This window comes from Homo sapiens, chromosome 1, assembly GCF_000001405.40.
Source record: "Homo sapiens chromosome 1, GRCh38.p14 Primary Assembly".
Classification (NCBI taxonomy): Eukaryota; Metazoa; Chordata; class Mammalia; order Primates; family Hominidae; genus Homo; species Homo sapiens.
This window is the reverse complement of record NC_000001.11, coordinates 48,750,460-48,763,401: the sequence shown is the minus strand read 5'-3', so window position 1 is coordinate 48,763,401 and position 12,942 is coordinate 48,750,460. Positions and strand designations below refer to the sequence as shown.

At 44.4% G+C, this 12,942-nt stretch overlaps 2 protein-coding genes across 19 annotated transcripts in view; both read left to right on the top strand.

The window, feature by feature from the left end:
- The window catches only part of AGBL4 (AGBL carboxypeptidase 4), a 1,501,444-nt gene that overhangs the window by 1,260,553 nt on the left and 227,949 nt on the right, over nt 1-12,942 (top strand). The window lies entirely within an intron of this gene.
- The window catches only part of BEND5 (BEN domain containing 5), a 49,373-nt gene that overhangs the window by 13,490 nt on the left and 22,941 nt on the right, over nt 1-12,942 (top strand). For 6 of the 11 annotated variants that reach the window (NM_024603.4, XM_047430505.1, NM_001349795.2 and 3 more), the window contains 2 exons: nt 1,932-2,065; nt 4,118-4,502. In NM_024603.4, the coding sequence (NP_078879.2) occupies nt 1,932-2,065; nt 4,118-4,502 (519 nt within the window). Of the gene's footprint in view, nt 1-1,931; nt 2,066-4,035; nt 4,503-9,208; nt 9,273-12,942 lie in introns of all 11 variants that reach the window. The other 5 variants (NR_146232.2, NM_001302082.2, NM_001349794.2 and 2 more) reach the window with 3 other exon arrangements.

The window sequence follows — 12,942 nt, the reverse complement described above, 5'->3', positions numbered from 1 at the left end:
GACTTAGAAGTCAGCAATGATTTGTAGGAGGGAAACTGTTGCTCTTTTAGAAAACCCTGAGTCCCTATTGTTGTTCATGCCTAACCCATTGGATGTGTTTTATAGGCACAATGAGTGCAAGAATGAGCCATTGTGAAAATAGGAACCCAAGGATTGCTCCTCCACTCAGTGGGAAAGGCCGTTTTCATCAGTAGGGGTTATTAACAAAGACCACCTCTTTTTTTTCTGAGCAGTTCATTTATCATCCTTACCCTACTTAAATCATTTCTTTGTTGTTGTTGTTGTTGTTGTTGTTGTTGTTTTAATTAAATCTCTATTCACTTTATGCTTAAGAGAAGAAAATGATTCAGAACACATTGATAATACCAATTATATTGTGCCATCCATTGAATGTTCAGTGTGTAGCAGGCACTGTTCGGTGGGTTGCGTGAATTATTGCTCTCATCCTCACAACCTCCATTATGAGGAGAGACTTGAGTTCAGAGAGATTAAGGCCCTTACCTACCTGTCCTCATCCTGTCATAGAAAAGCTGAGGTTCACACTTAAGTCTCTGATACTAGACTCCTACCTCTGACCAGCTGGGCCTTCATCCCTAAGAGCATTTGAGAAGATTCAGCATTTGAGTACATTCTGGAATAGTTATGTGCTTATAAGCTGCATTCTCAGCTTTACTAACAAGTTGTAGGAGAGAAGCCTGGCCTGGGAACAGTGTAAGAGCATGTTTAACACATGCAAATACATACACACACACACACACACACACACACACACACACACACACACACAAAACCCTTAAAGACTGGATTTAACTAACTACCTGGCCATATGCTACATCCAACATTGGGCAACATGCTACAAAACGCATTTGGGATACACCAGTGGGAACCTTTGAGGACTATGAGAAACAGCAATCTCTAAAGTGTCAGTTTAAGCCCTGAACACAAAGTATTTTACCACAAGGGGACAGTCCAGAGATGATTCAGATTTTTGCCTCTGGAGCCCTCTTGTTTGAACTTTTATTTTTGAACATATCCAGTGAGAGACAAATCTGGAAAGTCCAGTTTGAAATCTGTGCAGAAAAAGAAACAGATTATCTTAGGTTGAGCTTAAAGAATGAGAAAATGAGTAGAAATAATATCCTTTTATATTTGTGTAGCACTTTACATTCAGTATGTGTCGTGAGCACACGTAAGCAGTGGGCGAGGTGCCAGAGGCCTCTTTCCCACTCCCGGCTGTTCCTCAGACTCATGCCGTGGGCAAGCCTCTTCCATCCTCTGGGTTTGAATTTCCTCATGTAACATGAGCGAGTTGGACCACTTGTTCACTGAGGTCCCTCAAACTCAGTCATGCTGAGATTTGATACCAGTAAAAAGGGGATAAATGTTATTCTTCTCCCGTCTGCCTTACCTCAGCCTGCCTTATGTCAGGGCTGTGGAGATACCCCTGCCCTTCCTTACATCCCTATCAGCTATAAGCTCTCTCATGTCTATTGGCACTTGAGCTGACAGAAACCCACCAAGTTCTCCTGGGAAGACACTTGGCTTAGAAAGATCTCAGTTGAGTTGAGGGATTCATGTGCCATTTTAGTTTAGATCAGATAGCAATCTAAGGGCTGTTCCAATTCAAGATTCTAGAATTCCATAAAAGGCCACCCTTTAGGATGTACTTAGAGAAACCCCTAAGCAAATTCACTGGCTGCTATTTCAACACTTTGTATGACAGTGCTTTTAGCAAACACCCTTGTTCCTAGATCTGCACTGCTATTAGGATCCCTGCATGCAAGAGGGAACCAGCCTTGAGTCTGTTTGTTTTTCCTTTTTAACTGGTCTGGCCTCAATTATTTTCTAGCATTTGAGGTTTTGGGCATTCTAAACTCATAATGACTCATTTTAACTCATGATGAACCTTGTTCTCTTGATATGCATTTTAGAAGACAAATCTGACCTTGAAAACAGTGTGATGCAGAAGAAAATAAAAATCCCCAAGCTTTCTCTTAATCATGTAGAAGAAGATGGAGAGGTTAAAGATTATGGGGAAGAAGATTTACAGCTTAGACACATCAAGGTAACAAAATCTTTCCTTTCTTTGGAGGTATGCTGGAGCATTTTCAGATATCTCGTAGCTAAAGAGTTTCAGTCTGGCTTCCTCTCCCCATGTAAATGTCCCCTGGTATCACAGGCTATGATTTTTTCAGGGTAGTGAAAGCGTGGGACAACTCGTGTGTATTTGCCTTGCTGGCCAACTTTCTAGAGAGCCCTGATTCATGCTGTGCCACCAAGCTTGGTCCTGTTTGCACAGTCTGTGCAGTGTCATCGCTGTTGGAGGTTTGGAACGGTGTGTTTCTCCTTGGCCCACAGCTCTGGAGAGGTCACTGCTAAGCTCCAAGAACGTTAAACAGATGTTCTTGGGGAGAAGTTTAGGGCCAGTCACTGTCAGAGTGCCCCAGATAGCTAAGGCTGGACTCATTGGGAAGTGCACGAGGTTCACAGAAGGGATTTGTGAGACCTCGGGTTAGATGAAAACATTTGCATGAGGTTGCATTTTCTTGCTGTGTGCCCCAGTTGGTCTCCAGCCTTCACTTTGGAAACTGCTGAAAATCTTGTTCGGCAAGCTAGCTGTTTTTTTCTGTGCAGTAGATACCTGAGAGGAAGGGAGAAGGACGATAAGGAAGTGGGATGTCTTCTGCATTGACCATGGTCTGATTTTGGTCACAAGGTTGAGGGTGTTCCCAAGGAATGTAGCTGAGTTCAGTTCATGGCATTCATTGTACTCCTGCTATGCGCCTGGCCCTGTGCTCGTACCTGGAACCATTAGCCAGACATGGTCCTTGCCTCCAGGGGTCTCACATTATAGTGACGCAGACATATTGTAACGATCACTTTAGATAAATGATAAATTCATCTACACTAGTAGCACCTTATCTCAGCAGATAAAACGACTTACGATTTTGTCATGTAACACAATATCAGAGTCATGGTTTCATTGGGCTGGGTTTGATTTGGTTTGGTTTTCCTTAAATTTCCTGAAACTTAGAACTGCCTGGAATCTCATGTCCTCAGTTGTCTGCACTTCCTACACATGCCCCAGTCAGGAGAGCTCCTAACCCTCCTGCCCTGAGTGAAGAATTCATTTGATCTTGTAACTCTCACTGCCCCTCAGTAGAAGCTGTAGCTACTTGAGCTAGAATTTCCTTAGGCAGTGGAACCCCAAGCTCTGGAGGGGGTCCTGGATAATTCTCTTGTAAATGAACTTTCTTCTCTCTATCCACTGTCTTGCTGAGGAGAGTCTGGAAGGAGCCTTGTACTGGAAGTTAGATTCCAAATTCTGGTTTTGGCTCTGTTTGTATCTCACTATGTGACCCTAAGTGTAGTCCTTCCCTGAACTCTCTGACCCTCAGTTTTCTCACCTGTAACATGAGGCAGTTAAACTGAAAGTACCTTTCAATGCTAGAATTCTTTGAACTTTTCAGTTGAGTAAACATTTTTCAAGCCCCTACTGAGTGCCAGTTCTGAGTGAGTAGGCAGAGGAGAAACAGAGAAAATAAGACATGTTTTCTGCTCTAGATTAGAGTAGATTAGAGTTTTTAACATCCTTTCCATCTAAAGCATTGTCGATGAAAAGTTTACATGGTGAATTGCCTTTAGGGGAGGAATTTTATGTTTTTGTTGTTGAAGACATTTGTGAGTCCTCTGGGATCACTTGGCCTGGCCTCATTTCTCCCTGATTCTCCACAAATACATATTGAACACCCCCATGAGCAAGCCACTGCCTAGGCATTGTGGGTGGGCTGGGGCCTGGGGAGTTGGGAAGGGTGGTCATGGTATATGCATCCAGGAGGCAGAGTGGTGAAAAGGAAAAAGTGCAGGCCTGGGAAACCAGTGTCCTGGTTATGACTTTGGGCAAGCCCCTTCCCCACTCGGAACCCCATTTATAAAATTTATAAAATGTTTCCCCATTTATAAAATGAAGGGCTTTGACTAAGTGTTTGCACAGGTTTCTCCAAGCACTGATGTTCTGTGATTCTGTGATTTTAGGATTGTCTGGGGAAATATTGATCTGCAGTCCAAGAAAATCCCAGCTGCCCTTGCCTGAACTGATTCTCGTTGTCCTACACAGAGACCTGAGGGGCGGAAGCCGAGCGAAGTGGCGCACAAGAGCATCGAGGCAGTGGTGGCTCGGCTAGAGAAGCAGAACGGCCTGAGCCTGGGCCATAGCACGTGTCCGGAAGAGGTCTTCGTGGAGGCCTCGCCAGGCACAGAGGACATGGACAGTCTAGAAGATGCTGTGGTGCCCCGGGCTCTGTATGAGGAGCTGCTGCGCAACTACCAGCAGCAACAGGAAGAGATGCGCCACCTCCAGCAGGAGCTGGAGCGGACTCGGAGGCAGCTGGTACAACAGGCCAAGAAGCTCAAGGAGTACGGGGCACTTGTGTCTGAAATGAAGGAGCTCCGTGACCTTAACCGGAGGCTCCAGGACGTGCTGCTCCTGCGGCTTGGCAGCGGTGAGTGCCCCAGCAGGTCACCTACCACTCCACTTGGGTGAAATACTTCATGCAGATCCTCTTCCAGGAAGGGAAAGGGGAGAGGGAGACCAAGTGCCCTGAGGCTAGGGAAGGACAGACTCTTGGCTTACCAGTTACCTCAAGGAAGAGTCACTCCCCACTCATAGTGAATCTGGTAGGAGCTTATGTATGCAGCAGCCTCAGCTATGGGAACATTGGCGAACATGGGTCAGAGACTAAGAGCTGACAAAATATTTGTCACTGCTCAGTCCCTTATGCATTCATTCAGCAGGAGGCAGTAACAGGGATCGTAGGGAACCTCTCCAAGGAGGTTTCAGGATAGTAAAAAGAAGTAGACATGATCCTAACAACATGTATTAGTTTAAGTCAGAAAGTGATAAATGCCAAAGGAGAATGCTGACAAAATGATATGAGAATTCAGGGGTTGGAGAGGTTATTTGTAACTGAGGGCATGGAGAGACTTCAGTAAGAAACTGAGCTTTGAAGGTTGGGCAGTGTTTCAAGGCACAAGAGGAGGCTGAGCAGCACTGGTGAGCATGGGCAAATACCTGGAGCACACTAAGAGGAATAATGCAAATGTGCTTTGAGGACAGAAGATGGAAGGACTTGAAAACTTTACCAGCCTGGGATGTCTGGACTTGTTTTGGTAGGAATGGAAAGCATTAGAAAGCTTTGAGCAGGGAGGCACATGACCTTAGGAAGATGAATATAAAGACGTATAAAACTCCTTTGGTTTGCTCATAGAACTTAATAGGTTCTTATATTGCACCCTATTTTAACTAATCAGGTTTTCTGATCTAAAGTGGTTTAGAAGCAGGGATCGAGAAACCTGAAAGGCAGCAGCTTTGACTGCCGGAAGAAATGACTGCTTACCAGAGAGAAAAAGACAGAAAAATGCTTTTAGAATATAAGAATCCAGAACTGTAAAAGATAGAGCCCAGTCAATATTGAGGAAATCGGTATAACACAAGTTCTTTGCCTCCATAGCCCCTGAAGACAGTAATTAATAACTCTGAGTCAGTGTGCTTTGCTTGAAGAAGGTGGTAATCTAGTCTAGAAATATCCCCAAAGTTTAAATAAAATACAATTTTGCCCTTGTGAAGGTTTTCATTATCTAGATAATATATTTAGATATGAAGCTTCATTCTTCTTTGATTTATTCTTACCCTAATTTACTTATATTTGTAGGTGTCATTTGCTTCTTAAAGTATATCCCCAAGGTAGTGGCTCAGTAGATCTTTGGGTGGTCCAAGAAGTCAGCAGAGAGGCCTTTCATGCCCTTGTCATAGAAAAGGAAATGACATTGGGACTTCCCCAGAGTTACTTAGGGAGGCAGAGGTAGAGTTCTGTCTCAACTCTAGTCACTCAATTCATAGGCTGGACTTTGTCCACTCCCCAACTCTACCATTGCCTTGGCCATTGTCCCAAATCATAGTCTACAGAGGTTCACAGTGACACGAAAAGTCGCATATGGTTTGCAACTTCAAAAGTTAGTAAAGTTCTTTATTAAAATAAAATCTCAAAGAGAAATCATAAATGTAAAAATTTGTAAAAGCTGTATTGTTCTTGTAGTGGTGATGGGGGATGGGGATAACTGAAATTTTCAGAGAGAAAAAATGTTTCCCAATCTTAAAGTGAATAATTTGCATTTTCAGTGTGCTTTGTATGCTATGCCTTTTATGAACTTCTTGGGGGCTTGTGGGGAAGTACACCAAAAACAGAAATTCTTGGTACTTAATTCAACTCCCAGGGAAACTACCTGTTTTTCATGATTATGAACTGAGTTTAAACTCTAGAAACCACTCCTAAGCCTCTGGGGTGGTAAGACACCCTGCATTTTACATCATTATATGCCTCTTTTAGTCCTAAAACATGTAGAAAAACTTGACCTGAAGCATAGTTTCAGTGTCTTGATCTTTCTAGGCTCTCCCATCCCACAGGCCTTGAAGGCCATTGCACAGGCCAGTGGCTAGCTCTTCCCTGATCTGAGTCACCATCATCATTACAATGGGTTGGACTCAACATAAATCAACTGGAGCCCCAAGTATGCATAGACCACCCACCCTATCCTCTCAGGGCTACAGGCATCCTGGAAAATCACACCCACTGTCTCTCATCAGTGAAAGCTTAAAAGTCTATTGATTAACACATGTTAATAGGAGGATGCTAATGTGCCAACTTCCAAGACAAATCCGCAAGAATAAAATAAAAGGATCTCTACCCTTAAGAGGAGGTTGTATGTTTTCACGGCTTGGATTCAAATCCCAACTTCCCTACTTCCCAACTCTGTGGCTTTGGGAAGCTCATGTCCTTCTTTCCTTTCTTCCTTCCTTTCCTATGACCTTATTTTCTTCCATGAATACTTGCTGGTCTCCTGCTACATGCCAGGGACCTAGCCTAGTGTAAGAATTCAGTATATTTGCAATACAGCCCTTGCCCTCTGCCCTTGAGGAGTTTAAAGTTTGATGAGGGGAACAGATCCTGAAACAATCAATGACAGCACAGTACATAAATGCCATCATAGGGACAAAACCATAGAGGACTGTGGGACAGCAGAGGGGATTACCCACCAGATTTTGAGGGGTCAGAGAAGGAAGGCTTCCTGAAGGAAACAACTTTTAGGCTGAAGCCTGAATGATGAATTTTTGTTACCCAAACAGGAATCAGTAGATGGGGAGAGTAAGGAGCAATTTAGGCAAAGAGCATGTATGTCTCTGACCCTCAGTGTTCTCATATGTAAAATGGGAATGATAATATTACAGCCTTGTGACACACCGCATAGTGCCTGACATTCTGTTAATGCTTGATTACTGTTAGCTCCTGTTCAACATCATGTAATGGAGGAGCTAAGACAGGGTTAACTTTGGCTTTTAACTCGGGCACCCCCAGCCAGTAGTTGGCTATATGACCTTGGGCAGGTTAACTAACTTCTCTGCCTCAGTATCCTCTTACAATATTGAAGATAAGAGGGGTTATATATGTTTGTTCATTTGTTTATTCAATCAGTCAGCTAACATTGACCAAATGCTTTCTGAGCCTAGGAACTTAGGGAGATACAAAGAAGATTAAGACATTGGGAAGTAGGGAGAGGGTAGTGATGGAGGTAAACATGTTATTAAAACGCAGAGTGCCAGTTCTGGGAGAGAGATTAGCGTCTGAAGGGAGAAGTCTCTCTTGGAAAGTCTGGTAAGATATCCCCTTGCTGTAACAGATCCTGATCTATAAACACCACTAAGAAGGCAGAGAACAACCAGAAAGCGAATGAGAGACCCTTGTTTGACTCTCGGCTTCAGTTGCCCTCTGAGAAACATGTCCTGGGTTAGGGTTGATGTAGGGCCCAGGCTTTGCCGTTCTCTGCCCCCTGGGCCTCATTTGAGTGTTGCTCCTGGAGGCATATCCTTGAGTATTTTCATTTTTTGTCCACCTCAGCTAGGGGCCTAGCTCAAAGGCCTTTGTCTAGCTTGGGTGCTGGATCATTCACACAAATTCAGAGACGAGGGAGGCCAACAGGTCAGGAGGTGCTCAGTTTTCAAAAGAAATCTACCTGTCTGGAAGAATCATTATTTACTCACCGAGGTAGTGGGGTCCTACGAATGGTAGATGGTAGTGGAGAGCAGCCGCCTGGTCTTTTCAGACTGATGGGGACTCAGAGTGGGAAGCAGGTCCGTCAGCAGCCAGGAGTTGTAATGGCGCACCTTGGAAAGGTTGGGGTCAGAAAGGTGGAGCCACACCCAAGGGTGGGGGATAGCAGCAAGAGAGTATGTTTCAGAGGCTTCACTGAATCGTACACGTCTTCATTTGTACATTTATTCATTCTTTCATTCATTCCACACACAAGAAAAGATGGATTTAACAGGAAGTATTCCAACATGGAGGCATGGAGTTGTGAAAGAACTTAGGCTATAGACTGTCACCGTCATTTTGCTGATGAGGAAACAAGCCCAAAAAGTGTCACTGGCTTATTCCTAAGGGTCTTCTGACCCCTGGTCCTGCGTGCCTCTCTCTAGACCCTCACCCGTATGGCCTTCTTTAGCTCTTAGACTTCATTTTTCCCAACATGGGGGTGTCTCCTCCATCCCCTTTACTCCCCACAAAGGATATCATCTCTCTCTGTAAAACAGAACTTTCCTTGTCTGTGATCTTAGCATGGTAAACAACCCTTTCTGATGGGAAGGAACCTCACTTTCCTCCACTGTCAAAATTAAATAAGGAAGCATATGTAATTTGCATATGTAAACTTTTGCCCCGTGACCCCCATATTGTAAGTGTTCAATAAATGCCAGTCCCCTTTTCCTTTTTCTCCCTTTCCTGCCCCTCCTCCCCCAAATAAGTAAATGCCGAGGATGCAAAAAGCATGGTGACATTCCAATGTACAAGGTACAGATGTTTTTCTATGTATATTCCTTCATTCATTATTTATTTTATTCAGTGAACAGTTATCGAGGGTATCCTTTGTTCCAGGACTGGGTTAGGTGCTGGGAATAACGTAATGAACAAGACAGAGTGCCTTTTTAAAAAACAATGCACAAGTAGATTAGAATGGTGTGTTTAAACCGGGTGTTGGCAGCCACAGAGAATTTTAGGGGATGAAGGGAAGCAGAACAATAGAGACCCAGTTGGGGGAGGGTAAGCCCCCATGTGTGAGAATGGAGTAAATTCTAGGGTCTCTCTTGGTTTCTCCTCAGCTAGATTCCCTGTTCTTAGAAGGCAAAGTCCAAGGCTACGGTGTCCTCCCCAGTTTGTTACACTGTAAGTACCACTTAGACAGTATAATTCATTGTGGTGTGACTCGGGTAACATTAGTTCAAATAAGACTCTCAAGGGCTCTGTGAGGAATACAAAGAGGAGCAGACATAATCCTTGCCTTCAGGATGCACACAAGTCTCACAGGGAACACAAATATGTACGCAGTGTGACACCAGGCAAATAAAATCAGTGCTCTAATTGCAGGAGGGAGGCAGATGATGGTTTTAGATTTTGTGTGTGCTTTGTCAGGGAATATAGGCAAAAATGATGAATTCTAACCAGAAGAGGCATAGATAACTAGAGTAATAACAGTAATTCACATGTGCATGGCATTTTACAGGTTTTAAAGCACCTTGACATTTTTATCTCATTGGACAATTCCGATAGTCTTATTGCAAGCCAGGTAGGGATTATTATCTCCGTTTTAGAGAGGAGAATGCAAAAAGAAGAGAAAATGTCCTGTTGGCTAGATCATAAGCTGGCTGAAAGTTTTGAAAAAGGAGAAAGCCATTGTGGCCTGCATATCTGTTTCAACTTTTTAGAGCTGGATCACTAATACCTCTGTAACCCTCTGGGTTTGTGCCTTGTGTGCTGTCCAAGGTCCGCTAAAATACCAGCTTTGATCTTTAAAATCCTTTGCAGTCTGAACTGGTTTCTTTAAGCCCAGGTCTCTGATGGTGCCTTAGAAAAGGCAGCTGATGTCAGCCAAATGCTTCTTGCTGGTTTTCTCCTGTACTGGAGACAACCTGGGCTTCAGCAACAGATACTACTTGGGTTTGAATCTCAGCTGTCTTAATTTATTACCTGTGTAACTTCATACACATTTGTTTAACCCTTCTCAGGTGTCTGTTTTCTCCTCTAGGTATCTTAAAGCCCACTACATACAGACAGGAGAACCAGCTCAGTGATTAAGAGCCCTAATGGGCTCTGAGGTCAGAAATACTGAGGTTTTCAACCCCAGCTCTTCCAAATTCAAATTTTGTTGCCTCGGGCAAGTTACTTAACTTCCTCAGCCTTAGTTTCCTCATCTGTACAAGAGAGTGAATGATAGTATCAGCTATTATGGTTCTTAAAAGGAGCAAATGGGCCGGGGGCAGTGGCTCACGCCTGTAATCCCAGCACTTTGGGAGGCCGAGGCAGGCGGATCACGAGGTCAAGAGATCGAGACCATCCTGGCCAACATGGTGAAACCCCGCCTCTACTAAAAATACAAAAATTAGCTGGGCATGGGGGCGCGTGCCTGTAGTCCCAGCTACTCAGGAGGCTGAGGCAGGAGAATAGCTTGAACCCGGGAAGCAGAGGTTGCAGTGAGCCAAGATCATGCCACTGCACTCCAGCCTGGCGACAGAGCGAGACTCTGTCCAAAAAAAAAAGGAGTAAATGAATAAATGCAGTAAAGTCATCTGCCTGGAGGCTGGCATATAGTAGGTGCTCAGTAGGTACTGCATCAAGATATAGAATCATTTGAAGATGTGCATGAGAAAATGTGTATATAGCACTTGGCACATCATAGGCACCCATTGTCCTACAGCAGAACACAGATGTGACGGTCTGGGATGTCTTAATCTTTGGTCAACCCTGGATGACACCTAGAGATTTCCTGTTTCCCCTTGTAAGTCCTTAGAAATCATATTTGAACACTCTGTTTTACAACCATGCCTGGACTTGATTTCAAACTCACTGGTCTGTAGCTTATAGAATTTGTCCATTACCACGCCCAACTTTTCCTGGGCAGAATTCCATCTTCCCATCTCTAGCTCTCAACCACCCCATTTGACCTCCTAGATTTTTTTAGACATCACTAGTTGTGGCTCAGTCTTCTCTTTGCCAGGACTCTCTTCTTGGGGCCTGTTTATCTCAGAGCTCTTTCCTGTCTCTTTCAGCCTCAGTTCATTTTCACAATGAGCAGGAGTACTATAAAAAAGTTGGGCTTTGAGAAAGGCCCAAAGCGGGTGGACAAGAGCCATTTTGTCTAGTTAGATGTTTACATCTCCCTTGTGGAGGTAAGGCCTAAGAGGCCCACAGTCTGCCTGCCGGTTTAGAGTTAGTGGTGGGGCAGTTTCAAAAACTGTTGTATCCTGCTTAATTCAGATGGCAGGAAGAGACCTAGTAATAAGAAGTGGAGTAGTTTGTCTGAAAAATATCAGTCATCTTCTACTTTGAAGGACTTTTTTTGAACTGTTGCCCAAATCAGAAGTAGCCACAGTTTAAAATAATCCCAGATTATTTTAAAAGTTGATTTCAGGGTGGCCGAACAATTCAGGACCCTCCTTCCCCTTTCTCCCTAGACTCCGTTTTCCTGGGGGCAGTGGGGATGGGGTTGAGGGACAACTCCAGGCTGTCCCTTTTCTAACAACTGCCTAGGTATTTAGAACATCCAGAGGAAGTTGTTAGGCTTTTCCCCATTGTCAGAATAGCAGTGTGTTTCTCCATTAGAGCAGGGTTTTGCCTTCCATATTGCCATGTGACAAGCTTATGTTTTTTTTGGATTTGCCAGGCAGGAAATGGAGGTGGGAAAGTGTTCATTACAGGCAAAGCCTGGTTTCTAGGAATACCTGCTTTGGGCCAGACACTAAATACTTTCCATATATAAAACAACCTCAGCAGTGGATAAAACAGGCTCAGAGAGATTAGGTAACTTGCCTGAGGCCACACACCCAGGAAAGGGTAGAACCAGGTTTCAAAACTGAGGCCCCTCTTGCTTTGCCATGCGTCAGGCAGTCTGATCACAGAGTCCCTTAGCCATGTGCTTCTGTGGCACCATCCCTTTTGCCTGCCTCCTGATTAGGCCTTCATTGCTGGCCATTAGACCATCCAGTACTGCAGTGCATTCTGTGACTGCAGGACCCTTGAGCTTTTAGATGAATATTTCCTGCTTAATTTAAAAGCCCACCATGTCTTCATAGTTTCAGCCTTACCAGGCAACATGGCCTCAAGATACCAATTGGACAATTCCTGGAGTTTTCTTAGAAATTGTCTCTTTAGAGAGAACCCAGTTCAGCCTTTCACCCCTATCTTATAGATGGACAACTGAGGCCCAGAGAGGGGAAAAGACATATCTATGCCATGTGGAATCAGAATATATAGGATTTCATGAATGCTATATCATGAAGCAGTGGAAGGTTTGTGTTCAGCCAACATGGATGGATGTTTGTTTGGATGCCAGGATTCAGCAGGTCCCAGAGGCTGGCCATACCCTCCCTTGCTGCTCCAGGGGGTACTCTGAGTGTGGGGGGTAATTCTTAGAGTCCTAGGACCTTAGTCCTATAAGGAACCCCAGAGTTCACCTCGTCTAGCCTCCTATACAGGACAAGAAGCTTTCTGCTGTCTCCCTGCCATGCAATCACCCAGCCTCCAGTAACATTCCACTAGAGACAAGAAGCTCACTCACTGCCTTCCAGTGCAGCCTATCTCATTATTGGATAGCTCTGACCGTAGGGAAATGTTTTTGTGCAGGGAACATTATTGGATCCTTCCTCTGTTCCGAGCCCTGTGCTAGGCACGGAGAAATCAAATTGTTAAGCCCCCCTTGCCACCTTAAAGAAGTCACAGTCTCAACAGCAGACAGTTGGGATGCAGGGTGAGCTTTACTTTGGTCCCGAGCTCTCAGGATGTTGGGAAAGGATACAAAAGAGAGCTCCTTACATGGCTGGGGTAGGAGAGTTGTGGGTGG